The following is a 26,462-nucleotide window of genomic DNA, read 5'->3' as shown; positions in this document are numbered from 1 at the left end:
TCTTCTCAGCCTAGAAATATTTCATCATTCAATTTCAGTTCTGCTAAAATTAATTGACTGTTTAAACTGAGCTGTATTCTACAGCAAGCCCTGCAAGTGAAAACATGTAATGAAATACTATTAACACTTTACCAAAACCATGGAAAGAATAGAGAAACAAGACTGTAAAAAGTGTAATTGGTATTTATATTACTATCAGGATATATAAAATAAACAGAAATAATTAAACGTGGTTTACACTAAATTAACTAGTATCCTGCCTGAAATAAATATATAAAGATTAAAAATACTGTTAAATGTTGATCGATACTTGAAGCATTAGTTTTCTTTAGGCATATTTGGTCAAAATGGGTTAATGACATCATATTTTGCATTCCCCGTTACACGAGGTGAGTGGTACCTATGTAAATGAACACAATTTTTAAAGATATTGTTAAGCTGATTATATATGGAAATCATTCATTTAAAGGAACATTTTTTATATCTTTTTTAACAATAAGAAACTATTTTCATAAGCCTCAGCACTCCTATAGAAAGAATAATTGTATTATTTTTATAAGCTGTATTTTTTATGCTCTTGGCACACTTAACTACAAATATTTCTTTCAATCTTTTTAGAAAGTAATTATTTATGGTTTTATTCAAGCCACATAGGTAGTAAGCAATGAACCCTGGAGAATAATGAGTATGAAACTATCTACTTAAATAATAAAATATCCTACTAAATATAACAAGAGAGAAAGGTAGGAAAATGGGAGCTAACATGTACATTAAGGGTAGATACCAGATATAAAAGTAGTAGACTAGTTTGTATCAAGTGCCTGAATTATAGAGGAAATGCATAAAGTTGGATAACAGAGCAATATTTCATCCCGAGCTTCCAAACCAAATGAGATACTGGATCATTAGAGCAACTTGAATGAATAAATGGATGAAATATATTTAAAAGAATTTTGAAAAGAACAATGGGGTAGAGAGATCAATTTCTTTATTTCATTATTGTCTTGATGTTTCTGCCTGGCCAATTTCTCTTTATATCTCACACACTTTAGATTTTAGTTTCATTTCATCTTCTGTGGCAAGCTTTTCTTTCTCCCCCATGGCTGTACCAGTGGCTGCTCATAGCATACTCTACTTGCCCTAGGATAGCCTATCTGTAGTAGAATTCCCTGCTTGTTTGTTTAGTTCTACCTCCACATTCTTTTAGCTCCATAAGGGATGGGACTATGTCAGTTTTACCTGTTGTTCTATTCATGTCATCTGACACAATTCCTGACTACATATAGGGCATTCTATAATATTTGTTGTTTGGATGATGTGTGATGGAGTAGAATTCTGTGCCTGTGTGTGTGTGTGTGTGTGTATGCATGCACACACATGCACAGTGAGGGGCAGGCAGGAACTTTTCCCGGCAAGATACTAGAATGTGTTAAACTTACCAGTTAAAAACTGTGGTACTAGTAGGGTCTAGATATCCATGGAAAGTAGTAGAGTTTAAAGACCCTACTAAATATGAAAATGTAATGAATTAAACTTACCACTTGGAAAATTGTAGATACCAGTAGAATGTAGAAATTTATGAAACTTAATAGAATATAAAAACCCTACTAAATATAAAAACCATGATATTTTATAGGGGAAGCATCAACATGTTATGGGAAGAATGAATTATACAAATGATATTGAGAATAGTCACTATTTAGAGGGGGTAAAATAAATTTCAATGGATTAAATAGTTAACTTCAAATAACATTGAATGAAGTATGGGTCTTGTGTTTACTGACTTCTACATGGGGGAGAATGTCTAGTAATAAAATCATGCAACTAATTATAAAGAAAATAATCAATATGTTTTACTACATAAAAATTAAGATCAGCTGAATGCCACAAAGCAGTGTATGAAAATTAAGAAGTAAATGTTAACCTATATAAAAATTAAAAAAATGGTAACTATCTTAACAATAAAAGGAATTCCTAAAAATTAGTAAGAAAAACATCCTTATGTTAGTAGAAAATTGGGAAAGAAAATAGACAATTTGAAGAATAGTATTCAATTGGAAAAACATGTTCCACCTCATTAGCAATTGAATAAATACAAATTAAAGCAGCAGTATAATGCAATATGTTATGAAAAAAATAGAAAACATTAAAAAGTTGTAATATCTAATGTCTAAGAGCAGGCTAAGAAGGGCATTCTTATCATGTATTGTAGTTACAATATGAGTTGATACTTTTCTGAAATGTAATTTAGCAAGTATCAAGATCCTCAAAAATGTTTATACTCTTTCAACTAGTAATGTGATTTATATATGAGGGTTTTTTCACCTAATTTATTAAATAAGTATTAAATTTTGTACCATGGACAAGACACTGTGTTATGTGTTAGGGACATAATAGTAGGCAAAACCACCAAGGCAATTACATCTCAGGGAGACACAGACACATAAACAGATGATGAGTATAATACTAATACTTAAATAGCTTATGTTCTCAGGCAGCGTTCTAGGTGCTTTCTGTATATTAAACTTATTTTATCCACCCAACACCCAGATGAGGCAGGTACTATGATCTTACTGAAGTCAGAGAAGTTAAGTGTTTTTTCTCTAAATCACTCAGCCCATGCTGGAGATGAGATTTAAACTCAGGAGCATGGTTATATCCACAGGGTTAACTATCATGCAGGGATGGGTATAATGCAAAGTGTATTATTTAAAATGCTAAAAAGTTGCCTAACAATAGAAAAAAGGGAAATCAAACCATATTTAAATGATAAAATTTAATTATTTAGTCATGAAAAAAATGACACTTTCCAAAAACTTATAGTAACATGGAAAATATTTTTAATATAATGTTAAATGAATAAAGCTGAATCCAAATCAGCATATGTAAAATGAACCCAATTTTATTATTAAAAAGTGTTATAAATAGATACATGTATTATACATATTTATATATACATAAATAGATGTATTTGATTCCTTCACTAGATTCTCAGTTGACGAGGAGGCATTTGATAGGTTTGTCACTGTACACCTAACAATTACTATTGTGCCTAGACCTAATAGATGCTAAATAAGTTTTAAATGAATACATGAGTAGCCAAAAAAAAAAAAGTCTAGAAGAATATGGACCAAAATACTAGCATTAGTTTTCTCTAAATTCTGGAATTATAGCTTATTTTAGTTTTCTGTTATAATTTTTTAGTATTTCCAAAATTCTCTCTAGTAAACACGTATAGACTTAACTGGCTTCGGTTTTTAAAGAGTAAAGCAGGTTTTAAAGGGAACTCATGTTTAAATATTAATAGCATTAACAACCATCTGTCTTAGATAGCTTAGGCATCAATCTGCTGGAAGATAGGAAATTGAACCAGATGGCCCTCCAGGATTCCTGTTAAATACAGGTTACCTGGTGTACCAGTTATCAAGTTATTGTATCTCATCTGCAAATTTATACTCCATTGCCTGTTCTGCAAAAATGGAGATGAGCCCTTTAAATATTTTCCTTTGCCAGCGTGTACAACGTTCAGCTTGGTCAATTGAAGCACAGGAGGAAGGAATTTTCCTTCCTGATGCTGGCATGCTCTCTCAGCAGGCTCCTCAGTGTAAACAGCAACTGCACCATCAGGCTCGCACAATGCCAGTGCGTGGTGGTCAGCAGCACCCACTTTGGACAATTTCATAGAGGAGAGACTCCAGAGAGACACATGCCTATAAACAGTTTTCCCTGGCATTCTAGAGAGCAGATTTCCATAAAGTTCTGAAGGGCAGATCTTCAGCAACTTACGCTGGCACAGCATTCTATTCAGTGCCTGCCATTCCACAAGCCATGGCTGTGCCCTCCCTGACAAGGTCCAGATCTCAGCCTTCAGGGTAGGCAAGCGTCTTCGTTGGGCATCTATATCAGTTCTAGAGTAGTGGCTGTTCCTTATATCTGTTATTCCTGTATATTTTAAGAGTACCCTTTACTCCTTACTGACCAATCCCTCAATATTCTAATCCCCTGTTGTAGTTGCTAATTCTTTATACATTAAACTTTTCCTGTTCAATTATTGTAGTTTCTGTCCTCTGATTAGACCCTGGATTTTATAAATTTTAATAATTTTATTATAATTTCCATCCTTTTCTCTTCACTGAGAAAAGGTAAAAGATATAAATAAAACACTACGAAGGGTAGGTTTGCCACAGAGATCAATAACTATAATTATTCAAATATGGAAAGGAGATAAAAGGATCCCAAAACATATACCATTCCAAATAAATGGACAGGTACATGGTGTAAGCTGGGTAAATAGTTCTTAAGTAGGGAGGGAAGAAATGTAATGTATTAAAGAAAAATATTCCCTTCTGCATTGGCAAACAGCATGAAAGCAGAGTTATTAGCAAACATGGTATTATAAGGGGGCAAACTATTAGAAGACAAAACGACAAATGTAAATGAGAAATGAAATCTGAATCTCCATGCAGAGGCCACCAAATCAGAAAGCCAAGCAAACAGAAGTGAGCTTCTTTTTGCAGGGCAGTGAGGCTTATCTAATTCTGAATAATATGATTCTCCCAAATTAGTATTACTCACCTTTTAGTCAAAAGACAACTAAAAAGGCATTAAAATAACAGAATGAACCTAAACTTTGGTTAAGGAATAAATTTGTGGCAGGAAAACAATGAATAAGACTGCAAATACTTCAAATTGCAGATCTGAAGTAATTGTTAAAGTGAATTGCACAGAGAAATTAGCATCAAAGCCAAGGAAATAATTCTAGCACTATCCCAATCTCCACTTACCAATTATGAAACCTGAAGCACAGTCACCTTATTAAATGGGAGTTAGTATCATGATTTAGCAATTCCGCTCTCTTAGGTCACAGACTGTCTGGGTTTAAAATTGGGGATTCAAAGAAATGGTTATTTACAAAGATTTTGAGATAAATGTTTTATCAATTAAAGGAAATAACACATGCAAAACATTTGGCATATTATATTGCCTAAAATAAGCACTCAATAAGTATTAGATATCATACTGTTAGTTATTAATAGTAATACAGTGATCATATTGACCTTTTATTGACATCACACATCATTATAATGCCTTTGTGTTTTTTCTGTAAAGAAGCTACTGTACTAAGAGCTGTGGAAGGTACAAACACCGTTGGATATGCTAATACCCTCCCAACTTTCTATTTCCTATCCCAAAGATTGTTTGAGTCATATACTTATCTCTTACTGAACTTAAAGTCAATAAAAACTTCTGGGTGGTTTTTTTCTCCCCTGTCAACTGTTATTATTCTGCAGGTCTCCTATCCTTTACTTATGCAATTGATTTTGCAACCTAAATCCACTTAGTAATCTTATCCATGTTAATATTATGGGTGTTTGGCCTAGTAGTACGAGACTCAAAGTCATTTTAGCATTTATTGTATTCATTCTCTTTCTTAATGGTGTGACAACAGTGGGTTCAATGAGCATTTCTTTTGGGTATTCATCCAAATAATAGATAAATGATTCCTATTTAGTGAGTGTCTGTTATATGTGAGACACTATACATACATCATGTCACTTAACACTCAACATGAGGAAATAGTGAGGTTCAGGTAAGTACAACATCACGTACAAACAAAAAGACAGAGACAAACTCTGAATTCAGATCTTTGGTTTTGAAGCATGTAGTTTGACCACTATATTTATGATTTCTGGTGCATCCAAAACCATACAAGGAACATTTTCATATGTTTTCTAGGCTTTACTCTACAGAGTATGTGGAGTAGAACCCAGGAATTAGTATATGAGACTTGCCACACTACCCCATGTTGTCTCTAATGAACAGAAAAAGGGTCATTGGTTCATTTCAGACCCCAGTGATATATAACTAAAGATCTCTTTCCTGGTTGTATAGACCCATTTATTAATATTCTTTGAGGTTAGTATATACACTGTGCTATTATTTAACTTATATTTACCAGTTAGTTCATAAGATTTTTGTGATACTTCTTTTATCTTGCATGAAGCAGGAGAGAACCCAGTGTGCCAATAAGAAGCTTAGCTGAAATCAAGTTAATTTGCATAAACATAGATGCATCCTTTCTTTGGACTATAATCCTAGTAACATCAATGGAAAAGAAAATTACTTTAGTATTCACTAGTGGCCTCCATAACAGTGTAAAATAAATGCTCAAAGTGATAGGATTACATAGAAAGAAGAGCAGGCTCTCATAGAGAAAAATGTGAGTACATCACACAGAAATTCCATCCTTTCCCAGTTCCTCTAAGGGACCTGGCCCTAGAAGCTAGAGAAGAAAGCAGTGAGCTAGTGTCATTAAGAGTCTGTTTCATAGAGGAAATGGATGGGACATGATCTAAAATCTTAAGGAATGTGAAGGTCCTGGCATAATGGAGCAAGCAAAGTGAAAGAAAATAATAGCAACATTATTGACATGCAGGAATTGACATGCTAAGTGAAAAAGATTAAAAGGAAACTAAATTGACCAGAGTTATAATTTATGCTCTGGAATTCTGGGAGAGAAGATGAAACTGGTCAGAATATAGAAAGCATTAAAAACACAATAGAAGAGATTGAATTTAATTTGATATGACCTGGGTATCTTATTGTGGTTTTTGTGTATGAAGTGACATGAGAAACCAGTATGTTACAAGATGATGATAGTAATAGCCAGTGCCATTTATTATGTGCTTATCATATGCCAGGATTTTTACAGACAACACACACATTTACTCTCCTTCATAAATTTATAAGATTGGTATTATCTCAGTTTTACAGGTAAGGAAACTGAGACATAAGGGAGATAAGAGATTCATCCAAGAGCTCACAGATAAAATGGAGTGAAGCCACATTTCACCCATGTATATCTTATTCTAAAGACCACATCATACTGTGGTGCCTCTAATGAGATTGGTCTGGTATCCTTGTGAGATTCATACTGGGGAGAAGCAAAGATTCTAATTAGGAGAAGGGTAACCGGGGCTTGGGCTAATGTGATTCAGTTTTGTGTACAGTGAAACTTGTGGGGATAACATCCCTGTTTAGGGGTGAAGAGTCTAATTACAATTTGAATTACAATATGAAGCAGTTTATAAGGTGAAATGTACCCTTCATCAGACTATGTCATAATTTAGTTTTTAAAAGTTATTGAGAATCTTTAGTTATATCTATAATAGACTCTATAACTCGACTACTTAGAGAACTGGATTCTCAGGGAAATAGTTTTCATGTGCATTAGGAAATGTTTAGAGGAGCAAATTTGCCAATGAGAGCTGAGAACTCAATCTCTGGATGTTTAAGTTTTTAAGTAAATAATTCATGGATTTGTAAGATCTTTCTAAGGTTTTTATAAATGGTGTGATTTTTATCTTCAGATGGGTCTTTTGCCTGATGGGGATGGCCTCTCAAGATATATTAATTTCTTTATAATAAATCTTTTTGTATTGTATGCAACACGGATTACAAGAGATATGCAAATAAGGAAGCATGTTAAGGCACAGTTTCATTACATTGATTAAAGGCAAAGCAGAATTTTTGTTGCCTGCAGTGAGGTAGTTATGCCAGAACTCAAGTCAGTGTGGTTTTTTTTGAAGTCGTTTGGTGTTTCTCTGTCTGAGCAAGCTGTTCTCATAGCAGACTCCCCCCTCCCAGATCCTCATCAGAATGCTTGATGTTTCTGTCATTCTTATTTATACTTTTGTTTTAATCATTACTTCTCATTAGCATTATGAGAACGTACACATTCACTTGTTCATCCAACAAGTATTTATTAAATGTTTATTGTATGCTGGGTACTATGTTAGCTGGAACAATTTGCTAAAGGGATTTTTTTTAATCTTAGAAGAACTTTAATTTATCAAATATAATAGCAGGTCAGACTTAGTCTTGGAGTAAAGAACATGTTTTTATTTTGTTTTAATGAAGGGCAAGAAGAAATTGTACTTTTCATATTCAGTATCTACTTTTTCCAAGTCACTAACAAGCAGACATTGGCAAAGTCTTCAGAAAATGTGGGTCATCTTTGGTCAAGTTTCAATCTCAGAAGGTGCATCTAAGTCACATTTCCGAATATTCTGAGGTATGCTTTCTCCTATGTTCAATAAATTATTTTAAACTTTCCTTTAAATAGTAGACTTCATCCATAGTGAAGAGAGCCCAAGGGAAGGAAGAGATTGTTGCTTAAGCAGGAAACCTCAGTACTAATCTCTGGAATTATCTAGCTTTATCTTATTGATGTATGTCAGATCACTCTTCTTGATTCTCAGCTTCCTTTCTGGTAAAATGTAAGAACTGGTCTAATTGAGGCATGAGGACTTTAATACTTCTATGCTTTAACTATAAATATAAAGCCACCAATTTGAGCACCTGTTCTTTGTCATATACCGTGATTGCTCTTTTATCTGTATTATTTCTAATCCTCATGACAACAAGGAAAACTGGACATTATCATTTTATAGAGAAGAAAACCGAAGGTAAGAAAAGACACTAATTTATCTATGCTTACATGACTTAGAAGTTCTTTGTAATTCAAACCCAGGTCTGTCTTATTTTAAAATGTGTTTTCTACCATCACAGGTTGAAACACTAACATTCCCATAACTCTCAAAAATAAAAAAAAAAAGTTAAAAACTAAAAATAGTGCAAATAAACTCCAGGATTACCACCAAAATTAAAAATTATAAAAGACCACCCCCAAAAAGTTTAATTTAAAATTACAAGAAAATATTCCTTTACAATGGCTCATTTTTTAGTATATAGTTAGTTTAGTGGGCCTTGGCCTCTGAGAGTTGATCATCGTAAAACCTGTACGACTCATTTCAAAGTCTTGTGCCTCAGGAAATAAGACTTGCATGACCAATGTCCCTTGTCTTGTTGTGTTGCCTATTTTAATTCAACAGCACTGACTTTACTGGCTGCCCATCAGCAGACTCACAAGGTGGAAAATACCAAGATTTTTTCCAAAATACTTACATTCTAGAGATTTTCAAAAAGTGGAATGATAAAGCACTTTGTGATTTTGAAAATGACTCATAAACCTAGATTACTATAAGGGAGATAGTTCTCAAAATAAAATGAGAATGATTTGGGAAAAGAGAAAAATACTTGAGAGCTGTGACTGAGACTATTAGGTTTGGAGTGATTGCTATTAAGACAGACACAAAACCAATGCAGAACTAAGTGACCGTAGCTGAATGCATTCAGAAAGACGTGGATGTGATCCAATCATTTTGAAAATACTGAGCCTAAGAAGTGAGTATGGTTTTTCCTACACTACATTTGAGGGGTTGGAGTGTTTAATTAATTGATGTTTGCATTAATATTAAACATCAGTTGATGTTAAAACAAGTTAGGCATTCACACAGTTTAAAGCTTTAAATCATTTTAGAATTCTTCATTTAAAAAGCAGTACCTTTGTACCCCAATCTCATTTCTTTCTCACACAGAAAACTTTTTCATGGTTTTCCACTTTTTAGCTTTTGTTTTTATTTTCATATGGACTACTAATTTTTAGCAGCTTCTTTTATCTTATACCCTCCTGCCTCAGAACTGGGATGTCTACAGTTGTCTTGTGTTTGTAGAAGTGATGGATTTATTAAGTTAAATAATTTGGTGCTCTTTTTTCATCATAGTTTTTAATCCCTTCTAATAATGCATTGTTTCCTTGTGAGTGTCCATAGCTGTATTACTCCACTCTTGCACGGCTATAAAAAAAATACCTGAGCCTGTATAATTTACAAAGAAAAGAGGTTTAATTGTCTCATGGTTCCACAGGCTGTACAGGAAGCATAGCTGGAGAGGCCTCAGGAAAGTTACAATCATGGCAGTAGGTGAAGGGGACGCAGGCACATCTTACAGGGCCAGAGCAGGAGGAAGAGAAAGAAGGGGGAGGTGCTACACATTTGAAACAACCAGATCTTGGGATAACTCACTTACTATCATGAGAACAGCACCAAAGGGGAGATCTGCGCCATGATCAAATGACATCCCACCAGGCCCCACCTCCAACATTGAGGATTACAGTTTGACAGAGATTTCCGTGGGGACACAGATCCAAACCATATCAATAGGTAAACGTTTTTTATTGTGATAAAATATACATAACATAAAATGTGCCATTTTAAACATTTTAAATTATACAATTCATTGGCATTTAGTATATTCACAGTGTTGTATATCCATCATCCATATCTAGCTCCAGAGAATGTTCTGTATTTCTCTATTAGGTCTAGTTGGCTTACAGTATCATTGAAGTCATTTATTTTCTTATTGACCTTCTGTATAGTTATTTTATCCATTATTGAAAATAGGGTATTGAAATCTCCTATGATTACTGTAGAGCTGTTTATTCTGCCTTCATTTCTGTCAAATTTGCTTTATATATTTTGGGACTCAGTTGTTAGGTGCATGTATGCTTTTAATTGTCACATCTTCCTGAGGGATTGACCCTTTTATTAATATATAATGCCTCCCTTTTTCTTTTATAACAACTTTTGACTTAGTACATTTTGTATGATATTAGTGTGGCCACTCCAGCTTTTTCTTTTTTTACTCTTTGCATGAAATATCTTTTTCTATCCTTTAACTTTCAACCTATTTGTGTCTTTGGATCTAAAATGAGTCTCATGTAGACAGTATATATTTGGATCATTTTCTAATCTCTGCCTTTTAATTGGATAGTATAATTCATTTACACTTAAAGTAGCTACTAACAAAGAACTTACTTATGCCATTTTGCTATTTGTTTTCTGATGTCTTATAACCTTTTTGTTCCTTAATTCCTCCATTATTGTCTTTCATATTAGTTACATTTTTGTTATTAATTTAATTTCCTTTTGTAATCCCTTTTGGTTCCCTTCTCATTTACTTTTCTGAACATTTCTCACTTGTTCTTTCAGGTTACTTTTGGAATTACAGTTAGTATCTTACATTTATAAGTAATCGAGTTTGAATTAATACCCACTTAGCTTCAATAGTATATAAAACTCTGCTTTAATATAGGTCTCTCCCATGTGTTTGTGTTGTTATTGTCACAAATTCCATGTTTTCACATTGTGTCCCCATTAGCATAAATTTATAATTATTGATTTATGCATTTGTCTTCTAAATGACATAGGAAAAAGAAGAGGAGTTACAAACTGAAATTACAATAATACTGTTTGTTATATTCACCTATGTAGTTACCTTTACTGGTGATTTTTATTTCTTCATGTAGCTGCAAGTTGTTGTCTAGTGTGTTTTTGTTTCAATATGAAGAACTCCCTTTAACATTTCTTACAGTACCAGTCTGTTAGTGAAAAACTCCTTCACCTTTTGTTTATTTGTGAATGTCTAAATTTCTCCTTCATCTTTAAAGGATAGCTTTGCTTAATATAGGTCTTAATTTACAGTTCTTCTCTTTCAGCAATTTAAATAAGTCATTTCACTGTCTTAAGTCTTCTATAGTTTAAATAAGATATTATTCTTATTGATGATCACTTGTACCTGATGAGTTACTTCTCTCTTGCTTCTTTCAAGATTCTTGCTTTGGTTTTTGATGGTTTGATTATAATATGTCAGTTTAGATCTGTTGGAGTTTATCTTACTTGGTATTTGTTGGGCTTCTTGAATAAGTAGATTTATTTCTTTTATTAAATTTGCATTTGGGGAAGTAGCTAGTTTTTTTATTTTTTTGTCTTTTTTTAAGGAAGACTCGATTTGTTCAGGTAGGGGGTAACTATCAAGAAGAATATATAAGAAAAGTGAGCCAAAATGTAGAAATACTGTGAGCCATTATTTGGTCTTTTGTCCATTATTCTGTCTCCTCTCTTTCTGGGATTCCGATAGCTAGATAGGTAGATATGCTTAATGATATCCCAAAGGTTGCTGAGGTTCTGTTCATTTATCTTCATTTATTTTGTTTCTGTTCTTTAGAATGGATAATTTCAATTGATTTATCTATATGTTTTCTATTCTTTTTTTCTACCTGCTCAAAAGTGCTGTAGAAACCTTCTAGAGATTTTTTTATTTCAGTATTATACTTGTACATTTCAGCTCCAGAATTTGTTTCCTTTATATCATTTCTGCCTTCTTTATTTGGTGAGACATTGGTTTCATATATTCCTTTGGTTCTTTGTCTATGGCTTTAAACATATTTAAGACAGTTGATTTAATCTCTTTGTCTAGTAAATCTAGTGTCTAGGATTCCTCAGGGACAGTTCACATTCATTTCTTTTTTTCCCTGTAAATGGGCCACACTTTATTATTTTTTTTGGAAGTCTAATATCTTTTTGTTTAAAACTGAGCATTTTAAATATTATAGTAACTGGAAATCCGATTCTTCTTGTCCCCAAGTTTTTGTTATTGCTACTTGTCTTGGGTTGTACTTGTATGTTTAGTGACTTTTCTAATTTTTTACTGACAGTATTTTTTATCCTCTGTGGTCACTGAAATCTCTGTTCTACTAACTCAATGGTCAGCTAGTGATTTGACAAAGATTTCCTTAAATGCCTGGATAAAACAAAAACTCTCTCAGTCTTTGCAACTGGGCTCTGTGTGTATGTTGGGGCAGGCCTTTAACACTCAGCTAAGCAGTTTACAACTCTGCCTTCAACTTCATTTCCTGCTTTCACAGAGTCTGAAGTTCACCCAAAGGTGAGACTTTAGGATCTTCTCAAGATCATTTGATCATGTGGCCTGTTCTGCGCATGTGTGTGACCTTCTAGATACCTGGGAATATGTGGAAGCTTCTCAAAGCCCTTACTCCCCCAAGCATCTCACTTCCCAGCCTTCTTCTCAAGTTTTTTGTTTTGTTTATTGTTTATCCCATCTAATATTCTTTGTCTCATGGGCGTAGCAGTGGCTGGTTGATTTGCTATTAAGTATTTATATAGATGCTGTCTGTGCAGCCATGTTTGTGCCCTGGGAGAGTTCTGAGTTAGGCAAAATAAAGGCAAGTCCCCTGTGTTAGTCCTTCAGGAAACCACCTGATAGGTCAAAACAGGCAACCACAGTTTTTTCAGAACAAAATCTGTTCTGCTCCCTCTGGTACCAGGACCCACACTGGTAGAACAAGGTGCTTTCTTCAGGACCACCATTAAGCCAGCAATGGTGGGGATGGACACAAATAAATTAAAATACTATAAACCTCTTCCACTGGGTTACAGTGGCCCTTTCTCTTGATTAAGAATTCTCTTGGTTGCTGCAAACCTTTGACTGGCAGTAGGTGAAGGGGAAGCAGGCACGTCTTACAGGGCCAGAGCAGGAGGAAGAGAGAGAAGGGGGAGGTGCTACACATTTTAAACAACCAGATCTTTGATAACTCACGAAAACAATACCAAAGGGGAAATCTGCCCCATGATCTAATAACATCCCAGAATTTCACAGACATCCCATTTTCCAGAATTTCAGTAACTTTGTTTCTGACAGTTTTGCCAGAATTGTTTGTTTGTTTGTTTCGTTTTGTTTTTTGCTTTTCAGTGGAGAGTAAGGCTATTGGAGTCTCCTACTCTGACATTCTCGCTGATGCCTTCATAACATATTTTAAGTTGGCTTGTGCACATTTATGACTCCTGGTCTTCTCCAGACCTCTCACATGCTTCATACCTCTCCATTTGGGAAAACAGCTTTTATGATTTTATGTGTGTGGTGGTGGGGAAGGGGAGGAGAGAGAGAGAGAGTGTGTGTGTGTGTGTGCGTGTGTGAGAGAGAAAGAGAGAGAGAATGTATACATGCATTTAGGGAGGTGGCTAAGTTAAAAAAAGAAAAGGAAGAGTTAAATTGTTTAGGCAGGGGGGTAACTATCAAGAAAATACATAAGAAAAGTGAGTCAAAATGTAGAAATCCTATAAGCTAAAACCAAGGACTTCAAAATGAATTTATGGAATTCATATGATATCCCAATCAGCATTGTGGAGACTGTCTCTTGAAGCAAATATACACTAAAGACAAGGATAATAAATTGGATATCTTTGGAGGAAAATTAAAGTTGAGTTATAAAGCATGTGGCATCGAAATTAGTAGGAAAAAAAATGTTCTCCAAATTAAGTAAGGCAGAGTGCTCCTAAAAATAATGCCAGTAGCCCAATTTTACAAACCCTATGTAACTCTTAGGACATTGCCACCTTCAGGTATGATTAGGACAGGTGCAAAGTAATTTAAAAGCAAGCATGAACTAATTTTGTGAAGGTTATCCGTGCACAAAGAGAAATTTTACAAAGAGCATTTTTTTTAGGCTCAGGCTGGGTACCAACCACAGCATTTGGCTCAGCTCCGCAGGTGATGCCAGCTGTTTTTTTAAAAAGGTCTGCCTACCTTTTAAAGGATTTGCGTTTCTGGATCAGAATGAAAAGAGACCCACTTCCTTTCTTCCCTTACATGTTCTTCCCTATCCCCACCATAGGAACCCACAGACACTATTTTCACTAACTCTCTGTGCAACCTGGGTCAAGTGATTTAACCTTTTTAAAGGTCAGTTTCCTCCTCTTTAAAATGAAAGGACTGAACGAAAATGATGTCTCTCTAAAGTCCTTTATGCTTTTAAAGTTCCATGATTCTTTCTGATACAGTTTAGAATATTTATATTCTTCTGTTCTCTTTATCTGTATTTAACAACTGAAACCACTACCTCATAAACTATACTAACGTCACTTTCCATTCTTCCTCTAAACTATCTCTTGCATTAGAATCCACTTCCTAAACTATTTTGTCTTCCTTTGAATTGATATGACCATGCCTAAAAGAATGACCCTACATTTTCTCTCATTCTTGAGTGTCTATCATAGAGAGGGCTGCAAAGAAAGGAGTTATTTCTCAGATCTCTAGATCTTGTCCACTGACGATTCAGACTCCTTTACTGAGTGATTGGCATAGTAACAATTTGACCACACCCCAACCAATGTCACTGCCCAGTATCTTTGATATAAGATGAATTAGGATCATTTTATCTGACACCTAAAATTGGCTCCATTTTAAATCACCTCCAAAGTTATTAAAATTATTTGTTCTAAACACGTAAGTTCCCAGGTTGTCTTTTTCAGAATTGGAAAGGACATGGTCCAAAGCCGACAAATGTCAAAATAAATAGTTTCATCTGTTCTAGGAGTTAGCTTAAATGCTTTTCTTCTTTGCAAGCCATTTGAAAACAGCAGTGATTACCATGAGAGAAGTGCAGCCTATTTAAGAGGTAATTATAAGGATATGAAATTGACAACAAAATTAGTGCTCTTAGTTGTTTTTTAAAATTATATTAGCACTTCCACAGCAGACTAGATAAATCTTTTTCTTATTGCTTTTAGCTAATTGAAATATTAATACATTTGAAATACAAAAAATGTGACTGATCATATGCAAATATAATTTGCAAAAGATAATTCTGTTATGCATAGAAAATCACCTCTAAGGAAATTAGATACAAAGGATATTTGGTTCATGTATTTGTTGCCCAAAAGTAGGCAAGATTTTATTTTTAAGAAATTATAAATCTTTGATATCTAGGGTTTAACTAAAGGGAAACAAAATATAAAACCACAAATTCGTTCTTCTTTGTCAGAACCTGATGTTCTTACAAAATTTTATGTAAGGGCCCAGTGTTTATCATTTCAACCTTGTTTTGATAAAGCATGCCTAGAATTCCTGTAATTTACATATTCCAAAAACCTAAGAATCCATTCTTAAGAGACAGAAAACAATTATGATACAATAGCATGAGTGCTACAAAGAGAGATATATGAGGTGAAATGGAGTAAATATGCTTGTCAGAAACAGGGAAGCTTTCTCAAAGGCTGTAAGTGAGACTAAAAGAATGTGTCAACAAATAATAGGAAGAAAGGAATTAAGAATAGAATAGCATGGACAAACACACACACATGCATATACACACACAGTGGTTTGTGTAGCTAGGGCATAGAGTTCACAGCAGGGGAATGGTGGGTAATCAGGGAGACAGATTAAGAATGACCTAATAAGACTCATGTGTTTGTCAAGGTAAGTAATGCTATGTGCTGGAACAGTTTTATAAATCCCATTGGTCTAACACAATGCAGGTTTATTTAGTGCACAAAGAATAGTTTATTTGAGTGTTAATTGGGTGCCCTTCCATGTGGTGATTCTGGGAACATGGCTTATTGTTCCTTACAGTTCTATATGCTCCAGGAAATTTCTGGTTAATAGTATCAAATGCTCCTGAGGGATCAACCCAACTTGAAAAGTGCCCGCTGCATGTAGCAACTAAAAGGTCACTGTGACAGTTTCAGGAGTAATTTCATTGGAGCATAAGGGTAAAAGCCAGTTTGCAGTGGAGGTGAGTGAGAGGTGAGAAAGAATTGCTGGTAGGTACCAATGACTCTTCAAAAATATTGGATGTAAATAAAAGAGAAGACAAGAATTGCAGATGAGGAGAGAATACTTGAGGGGTTATTTTATTATTTGTCTTTGATTGTTTTTGCCAGCACAGAGATTTTAGCATGGTTATATGGTGAGAGTAAAGATTTAGTTGAGAGGAAAAGGTTGTAGATGCTGAGAGGAGAGCAATAATTAAGTAAGGTCCCTGAAAAAGCAGCTGACAATGAGATTCAGAGGACAGATAAAGGGATTAGCCTTATGCTGGAAGCCTTAAGCTTTGTCCATTGACCTGGGAGAGAAGGCAATGAGATAAAGAAAAGTAATATTAAAGCTATTTCAGGAATGTCAGACAGTGTTTGAAGTTCAGATATATGTGTAAAAAAACAAACTTCAAATAATAGAGAAATAAACCATGTATTTAAAAACAATTGTGAATCATGGGATATTGGATCTATTCTCATGTAGTCTAGAGAGGCTGGACTGCTACTTAATTTTCTTCATTGAATGTGGCTCCTGCTCATCACTAAATGTGTTTCAATGGTCACACATTTTATTGGTAGACTTAAAAGATATATGTGTAAGTTAATATATGATTTTAGCTGTTACTTTGGAATACATAATGTAAATCTTTGAAAGATTTGAAAACTTGTATTTGGTATTAGTTATTTTGAGGATTCTGCCTACTGAATATAGATGGAATATATTCACATTTTTCTTTTGACAGAAATAGGGCAGTTTGATTTTTTCTATTTGATTAAAAATATATTAAAAATAAATTATAGTATTCTTGATGTAAGCATTCTGTACACTTATTGTTTTGAGAAGGAGCTTTAGGCAAATTTCTAAAGATTTTTCTTTATTCATAAAGACAAAACATTATCTCAAAGGTCAAATAAAGAAGAAGAGAAAAAACTAATCTACTTAATTTTAATTATTCTAAATTATTCTGTTAGTCTTTCCCATTTTACTTTTAGGTGTTAGACAAATGGGTCCATTCTAATTTTCTCCTTGCAGAATCCATAGCATCCACAAAAGTGATTCATTCTAAAGTGTTAATGTAGACTATCAATATGTTTTGATAATTTTAGGAGAGTTTACCACTCTGGCCTCGCCTTTTCTTTTCTAAATATACAAAGATATACTGCCTCTTTTGGAATCATGGAATCTCAGTGGAAGCAGGAAGTTTAGAAGGCATCACAGCTACCATCTACTAGAGATTGCACACCTTTATTCATTCAATGAACATTGGTTGGGTTTCTACCTCTTTAGACTTATCGCAGGGTCAGTTTTTACTTACTGTCTATGATTAGCCACACTTGACTTCTTTCAATCCCCTGACCTCCTTTCAACCTCCAGGACATCTCATACTCTATTTATTCCATGTGCCTACAATACTGTCTTCCCAGAACCTGTCCCTTAGGCTAGCTGATACTTACTCATCTTACAGGTCTCTATAACTCAAACAGCTTCCCTAGGAAATCTTTCTTTGCCTGCACCTGCTAGCTTAAATCTCCCATTTAAATGCTCTCTTATTTTCATATATCTTTTTAGTCGCGTTTAATTAATGCATACTTTTTCACCTGATAACTCTAACACTAAATGCTGACCTCCATGATATCAGGAACTATGCGCGTTTTATTCACCACCATATTCCTAGGTCTCTAGAAGAGTACTGGCACATAGTAGGTATTTAATTAAAAGTCTTGAATGACTAAATGAAGTTTTGAATGAATGCAGCCCCCAGAATTTGATACTGAAAAATACTTACTGAATTAGAAAGAATTATTGTTCTTCAGTCACTCATATTCTTCTAAGGAGAAGTCATGTAATGAAGTAATTATTAAATATTGTAGTAGTTAAAAGGTGAATGTTGATCAGAATACCTGGGTTGAAATCCTTGCTTCCTTCTATATACCTTTATTATTGACCAAATAACATAATCTTTCTAAGGCTCAATTTCCTTATCTGTAAAATGGGGGAAATTACAGTGCCTACCTCTACCTACTTACAGTACTTACCAGATACTGCAGACTGGCTTACTGATTACCCATTCTGTATCCATTATATCTCACCTTCCTACCATAGAGCTGAAAAATTAAAACAGAACAAAACAGAACTTTATTTCTAGATTTCCTTGAAGCTACATTTCTATTGGGAATTTGGTTCTACTGAGCAAATTTAGATGCAGAAGGGAACAGAGAAGGCAGTAGCCACATGTGGCAAGCATGGTGATAGAGATGTCTGGTTCTTTAGGGACAGTTTTAGTGAAATCTCTTAAATCTAGGTGTAGGTACTGGTACTCATGTGTGAAATCAATGTGCAGTTCTTCTAGAATAGTCGGGTAGTGTGCGTGGATATTTCATCTGTTGGCTTTAACGCTGGATGCCTTGTTTCTGGTTGTGAAACATCTGAGCTTGATTCTCTAGCACTCCAAAAGATTCCATGAGCTAATTAATACCTAGAATGATTCACTTCTGCTCCAAATAGCTAAAGAGGATTCTCTAGCTTGCAACCATGAAGTATAGAAGAGTAATCCACAAATAGTTTGTTGAAAGGCTTCATCTAAATGGAAGCTTTGTCCTTGAGACCTGAACACAAAGACTGTGACAAATCAAGGTAAGACAATTAATGCTATATTTGGCAAATAACCTAATGTTACTTTACCTGATTTTGTGTCAAAACCCTTCCCCAAAACTTCTTGAGGAGACAGTTTCATGATTTATTACTGTATAGATGGATATAGATAAAATTTTGACAAGTGCGCTCGATTAAGTTGCTAATTTAAATATATATATTGAGATAAATCTAGAAGAATACACTGCTAAATTACATTGCAAACAATTTCTTTCCTTTATGCTTATCTGTATTTTATTATTTCTCAGAAGTAAACACATATTATTTATATATCTTTGAAAAGACAAATCTTTTAGCTGTTTAAACTTTCACATTTACATAGTGCTTTGCATTTTTTTTAAAAGTTCTCACATGTATTAATTTTATGACCACTGTGTAAGGTAATTGGTAATATAGTCATTTGTCACATAGCAATGTTTGGGTCATAATGTTAAAATAGAGCATATCTAGAAACCTGATATCTGGTACTGGATATTGGCATTGCAGATCAAGTAGGGGAAATGATTGATATTACTAATGGTACTGGGGCATTTGGTTTTCCATAAGAAAATATATATACATATATATAAATAAAAAATATATACCATCTAGGTTTGTGTAAGTACACTCTTTGATGTTTGTTTTGCATAGTGATGGAATTGCCTAATGATGCATTTCTCAGAACATATCTCTGTTGTTAGGTGATACATGACTGTATTGCTGTTATACAATATTGCAAACTGAGGCCAAGAGAAACTAGTAATTGGCAGAGTGAGAACTTGAGTTCAGGTTCTCTGACTCTAAGTTATTTACTTTTTTTGCTTTATCACAGCTGATCAGCAGTTCACTGAGAGCAGCTCTCTGTAAAATGAAATAAATTTTGATCATCAGAGCCAAGTGAAAGACTTAAATGGTAGCCCAGACTGTACCATTGATTAGGTTTGCAACTTGGAGCAGGCTAATGAACCTTTTTCAGTTCATTTCTATCTGTAAAATGAGGTTCAGAACAAAGGTCTCTGAGGAAATACAAAAATAAAATTAAAAATAAATAAATAAAATGAGGATGCCACAAACTTCCTGTCAATATGACCCCATAAGTTTATAATACATAACAATGGGAAAGAAATTAAGACTAAAAAATCTAAAAGACAGGGCCAAGTTCAAAAGCAAGATAGAACATTTCAGTGACCCTCAAATGGAATAGAAACCTAAGAAGTATACAGGATTGAGACCTAGGAACTACTATGGTCTGACGCAGAGTCTCAGTTTCTGTTTGGTAGAGGACTAAAAGTTTTGTGCGAAAGTGGAGACTGGATCTAGGATTACTGTCAAAAGCCAAGGTCAGGGGCAAGGCAGAAGTAGGGAGGATGGGCGCCTGAAAACCAGAATTCAAAAATACATAAGGAAATCTAAAACTGAGTAATGCATCTAACAAAATCAACTTTCAAAAGCTAATTTATGAAATTAATACATCCTAACAGATACTTTCTAAAAGCTTGAAGAAATAGGGAGAGAAGTGGAACAAGGTGGATGAATAGAACCCTCCAGCGATTGTACTCCCCCACCTCAGGAACACCATATTGAACAACTGTCCACACAAGAAACCACCTTTATAACAACCAAAATTTAGGTGAGCAATCACAGTACCTGGTTTTAACATCATATCTAGGAAAGAGAAGGTAGGAAAGACAGCTGTGAATTGCCTACACCAACCCTGCCCCATTCCCTGACAATGCAGTGTGGCATGGAGAGAGAATTTGTGTGTTTGGGAGAGGAAGAATGCAGTGATTGCTGGACTTTGCATTGCAACTAAGTGCTGCCCCATCATAGTGGAAAGCAACACAGGGGAGAAGTCAGCAAGAGCCTATGAGGGAGCACTTAGAGCATCCCTAGTCAGAGGGGAATTATCCGTTCCAGCTTGTGGAACCCAAGTTCTGGCTAGCCCCACCACTGTGGGCTAAAGTGCCCTTGGGTCCTAAATAAACTTGAAAGATGGTCTATGCCACAAGGACTGTAATTCCTGGGCAAATCTTAGCCCTTTGCTTGGTTCCAAGCCATTGGACTTGGGGTGTACATGACCTAGTGGGACACCAGCCAAGGAACTGCTTGCACCACTCCTCACCCAGCCCAAGGCAGTGAAGCCCACAGTTCTGAGAGAGACTCCTTCCTTTCACTTTAGGAGACGAGATGGGAGAGTAAAGGGGACTTCATCTTTCAACTCGGAAATAACAGCTCAGCCACAGTCAAATAAGGTCTTAGGCAGTTTGCCTAACTCCTGAGGCTCCCAGTCCAGGCACTATCTTCCCTGTCTTTCTAGATATACCCTGCACCAGAAGGGAACCCACTATCTTGAAGGGAAGGACATCATCCAGGCAAGATTCATCACCTGCTGGCTAAAGAGCCCATGGGCCTTGAATAAACATCAGTGGTAACCAGGCAGTACTTGCCACGTGCCTTGTGAGACTCAGAGACATGCTGGCTTCTGGCATGGCCCAGCATATTCTGAGCAGAGCTGGCCACGAGGAGAGACTCCTGCTTAAGAAAGGAGAGGGAAGAATAAAGGAGATTTTGTTGTGCAGCTTGGGCACCAGCTTGGTCACAGTGGAGTAGAGCACAAAGCAGGCTCTTAAAGTCCCAGATTCCAGGCCGTAGCTCTTAGATGACATTTCTGGACCTTCCCTGGGCCAGAGGGGAGCCCACTGCCCTGAAAGGAGAGACTCAGGCCTGGCAGCATTCACCACAAGCTAACTGAAGAGCCTTTGGGCCCTGAGTGAATATCGGCAATAGCCACACAGTACACAACATGGGCCTGGGGCAGTGGTACCCACAGGGGAGACTACTGCTTGAGGAAAGGAGAGAAAAGAATGGGAAGGACTTTGTCTTGTGGCTTGCATGCCAGTTCAGCTGCAGTAGAATAGTACCAAGCGGATTCCTAAGGATTCTGACTCCAGGCTGTGGTTCCCGGACAGCATTTCTGGACCCATCCTGGGACAAGTGGGAGCTTACCTCCCTGAAGGGAAGTACACAAGCCTGTCTGGATTCACCGCCTTCTGACTTAAGAACACTTGGGCCTTGAGTGAACATCATCAGTAGTCAGGCAGTGGTCACCACAGGCCTTGGGCAAGATCCAGTGCTGTGCTGGCTTCAGATCTGACCCAGTGCAATTTCAGTGGAGGTGGCCACAGGAGTGTTTGTGCCCTCCAGGGAGTGCTTCCCTATCTCCAGGCAGCTCAGCACAGAGTGAAAGACTATGTTTGTTAGTGGAAAGTAAAAGAAGACAACAAAATTCTATGCCTGATAATCCATGGAATTCTCTCAGATCTCACCCAATTCTCTCTCAGGTCCACCAAGGCTGGACCTCTGTAAGTCTCTAAAAGTCTCAGTGTTCCTGGGCTTGGGGTGCCCCCTAATGCAGATATGGCTGCAGTAACCAAAGTCTTAAATTACATTACTCAATTTCCATTGAATACTTGGAAATCCCTCCCAAGAAGAATGGGTACAAACAAGTCTAGACTGAGAAAACTACAATAAATACCTAACTTAAATTCCTGGACACGGATGGGTATCCACAAGCATCAAGACTATCCAGGAAAATGTTACCTGACCAAATGAACTAAATAAGATACCAGTGAGCATCCTGGAGAGACAGATATGTAACCTTTCAGACAGAGAATTCCAAATAGCTGTTTTGAGGAAACTCTTTGAAATTCAAGATAATACAGAGAAGGTATTCAGAATTCTATCAGATAAATTTAACAAAAAGACAAATAATTTTTAAAAATCAAGCAAAAATTCTGGAGCAGAAAAATTCAGTTGACATACCAAAGAATGCATTAGATTCTCTCAACAGCAGAATTGATCAAGCAGAAGAAAGAATAACCGAGCTTGAAGACAGTCTATTTGAAAATGTACAATCAGAGAAACAAAAGAAAAAACAATGAAGCACACCTACAAAATTTAGCAAATAGCCTCAAAAGGGAAATCTAATGGTTATTGGTCTTCAAGAGGATGAAGAGAGATTGAAATAGGAAGTTTATTCAAAGGTATAATAAAAGAGAACTTTCCAAACCTAGATAAAGAGATCAGTATTCAATTACAAAAAAGTGATAGAATACCAAGCAGATTCAATTCAAATAAGTCTACCTCAAGACACTTAATAACCAAACTCCCAAAGGCCAAATGTAAAGAAAGGATCCTGAAAGCAGCAAGAGAAAAGAAACAAATAACATTCAATGGAGTTTCAATATGCCTGGCAGCAGACTTCTCAGTGGAGACCCTTATAGGCCAGGACAGAGTAGCATGACATATTTAAAGTGCTGAAGGAAAAAATCTTTTACCCTTGAATAGTATATCCAAGTTCTCCTTCATGTATGAAGAATATTTTCCCTGGCATAAAAACCAACACATGGAACAGAATAGAGAACCCAGAAATAAATCCGTACATCTAAAGTGAACTTATTTTCAACAAAGGTGCTAAGAACGTAGATTTGGGAAAACACAGCCTCTTCAATAAATGATGGTGGCAAAACTAGATATCCATACGAGAAGAATGAAACTAGACCCCTATTTTTCATTGTATACAAAAATCAAATCAAAGTGGATTAAAGACATACATCTAATGTCTCAAACATGAAACTACTACAAGAAAATATTGAAAAAACACTCCAGGACATTCAACTGGGCAGAGATTTGTTGAAAAATACCCCACAAGCACCAGCAAGCCAAGTAAAAAGGGATAAATGGGATTACATCCAATTGAAGAGCTTCTGCATAGCAAAGGAAATAACAAAGTGAAGAGACAACCCACAGAATAGGAGAAAATATTTGCAAACTACTTATCTGACAAGGGATTAATAACCAGAATATATAAGGAACTCAAACAACTCTACAGGAAAAAAACATCTAGTAGTCCAATTAAAAAATGGGCAAAAGATGTGAATAGACATCTCTCAATAGAAGACGTATAAATGGCAGAGAGGTATAAGAAAAGGTGCTCTCAACGTTATTGGTTATCAGAGATATGCTAATCAAAACCACAATGAGAAATCATCTCACCCCAATTAAAATGGCTTTTATCCAAAAGACAGGCAATAATAGTGAATGCTAGCGAGGATGTGGAGAAAACGGAACTCTTGTACACTGTTCGTGGGAATGTAAGTTGGTGGAGCCACTATGGAGAACAGTATGGAGGTTCTTCAAAAAATTAAAACTAGAACTATCATATGATCCAGAAATCCCATTGCTAAGTATATTCCCCAAGGAAAGGAAATTAGTATATTGAAGAGATAGCTACACACTCCCATGTTTATTGCAGCACTATTCACAATAGCGAAAGTTTGGAAGCAACCTAAACATCCATCAGCAGACAAATGGAAATGAAAATGTACCACAGAAAATGTGGCACTTATACACAATGGAGTACTATTCAGCCATAAAAATAATAAGATCCTGTCATTTGCAACAATATGGATGGGACTGGAGGACATTATGTTAATAGAAATAAGCCAGGCACAGAAAGATTAACCTTGCATGTTCTCATTTATTTATGGGAGCTAAAAATTAAAACAATTGAACTCATGGAGATAATAAAATGGTGGTTACTAGAGGCTGGGAAGGGTAGCTGGGAACCAGGTGGGAGCAGGGATGGCTAATGGGTTAAAAAAAATAGAATGAATAGGATCTAGTATTTGATAGCAAAACAGGGTGACTATAGTCAACAGTAATTTATTGTATACTTAAAAGTAACTAAAACAATATAATTGGAATGTTCATAATACAAAGAAATAATAAATGCTTGAGATTAGGGATACCTCATTTACTGTGATGTGATTATTACACATTATATGCCTGTATCAAAATATCTTATGTACCCCATAAATATATACATCTACTATGTACCCATGAAAATTAAAAATGAAAAAAATTTTAAAAGCTTAAAAAATTAAAACTGAAGAAGAAAACTAGGAAGAAATAAAAATACAACACGTAAATAGAAAAAAGAAAGAACTCTTAGAAGTGGAAAATATGTTTGTTAAATAAATATAACATCTGCTCTATGAGTTTACAAAATTGCAAGACCATCGCGAGGACTCAATAGGATTGTGTCAGCCTGTGTTTTGTGAATTGAAACCTTTTGTAGTAAGAGATGGGAAACTGGGAGATTAGCCAAGAGATTTCTTCAATAGAGATCTCTCAGCTGGCTGGCAAAGAATTGAGGTAGCTGTAAGAGAAGGAAAGACTGTCATAAAAGGAAGAATATATTGACAAATTTCACTTCACCCTTGAATTTGCATGAGGAACTAGTCTCCTGGGACACCTTGCCTTACTCCATACGTAAAGGAAGAAAAAATTTATGCTTTTTTAAGTTGCTCATAAAATAATTGACTCATCTCTTGTAAAGGGAGGAGAATGGAAAAAAATGTACTACATAAATTAAGGCTATTATTATTCTTTCATTTTAGGAAAAAAATCACTCTCTAGGGAGGAAAACGTCTGGACATTGAGATTGCATGCTTTTTCAAATGTGCATTTCTATGGTGGTGTGCATTTGGAACTGGGCATGCAAACTTGAATTTGTGTATGGTATATTTTTATGCAAATGTGTACATGCATATCATAATGCTTGTTCTGTTCCACTCAAGAGTGGGTGGAGATATGAATATTATTGAGCAAGTATAATTTTTATACAAGCATTGTGTGGGCAGCTTCCATTCTGGCTAAGCATCTTAACAAAAATGCAAAGCTCAGATAAGAACAGGGAGATTTTGTAAGTATTAATATTAAAGCATGAATGTTTCTAATCATTCTCGAGGCCTGGTGGGTCTTGAATTAGAAAGAATGAAGCCATCCAGTACCAGGAAAATTGATGTACAGGAAACAGATATACTGTGCTTCTATCTTTCTATGTATCTATGTATCTATGTATCTATGTATCTATCTATCTGTCTGTCTGTCTGTCTGTCTGTCTGTCTATCTATCTATCTATCTATCTATTTAGAGGAGCAAATGGCTGTTTGGAATTCTGTATCTTGGAAGTCAAGCTAAACATGATGCCTGACCCAGAATTATAAATATTCTATGATGTGAAACTGAAACACTTGAAAGAGCTTTCTAAATAAATTCAAAATAACCTCACACCAGCCATAAAGCTCCATAACCATAAATCATACAAAAAACCAATCTGGCAGCAGTTGAGGTATATGAAATGCGATCAACATGTACCTACCCTACAACTTACTCACATTGTTAAAAAAAAAAAAAAAAAAAAACTGAGAACTGGAAATGTGACTTTGATCTCCCTACCTACCACCTAGTGGAATCAGTGCTTCTAAGTGAAAAAAATGTGGGACTAGAAAAGGGGCTGGAGATGGGAAAAGGGAAGGCTATTTTCTTGAAAGTGAATAAAGAATAACCAAGAAGCCTTCCTAGGAACATATTCAGGGTTGAGAAACAACCAAAGAGGCAAATAGAGAACAATTCTGTAACAAAATTTTTATTTTGGGTTTGGGTGACTTAGAGGCATGCAGCGGCTTCCA

At 35.5% G+C, this 26,462-nt stretch overlaps 1 protein-coding gene across 22 annotated transcripts in view, besides 1 other annotated feature; it reads left to right on the top strand.

Moving 5' to 3' along the window:
• The window catches only part of ANKS1B (ankyrin repeat and sterile alpha motif domain containing 1B), a 1,250,151-nt gene that overhangs the window by 624,887 nt on the left and 598,802 nt on the right, over nucleotides 1-26,462 (top strand). The window lies entirely within an intron of this gene.
• Nucleotides 399-568: an enhancer, noted in NCBI's record as "experimental_31500 CRE fragment used in MPRA reporter constructs". NCBI's record gives its function as "activates a minimal promoter by MPRAs in K562 erythroleukemia cells, with activity observed for the non-introgressed 12:99753345 variant allele {active_cell/tissue: K562}" and the evidence as "EXISTENCE:reporter gene assay evidence [ECO:0000049][PMID:34662402]".

The sequence above is a fragment of the Homo sapiens genome, chromosome 12 (assembly GCF_000001405.40).
Source record: "Homo sapiens chromosome 12, GRCh38.p14 Primary Assembly".
In the NCBI taxonomy this organism is placed as follows: Eukaryota; Metazoa; Chordata; class Mammalia; order Primates; family Hominidae; genus Homo; species Homo sapiens.
The sequence above is the reverse complement of the archived record's forward strand: the minus strand, read 5'-3'. Positions and strand labels throughout refer to the sequence as shown.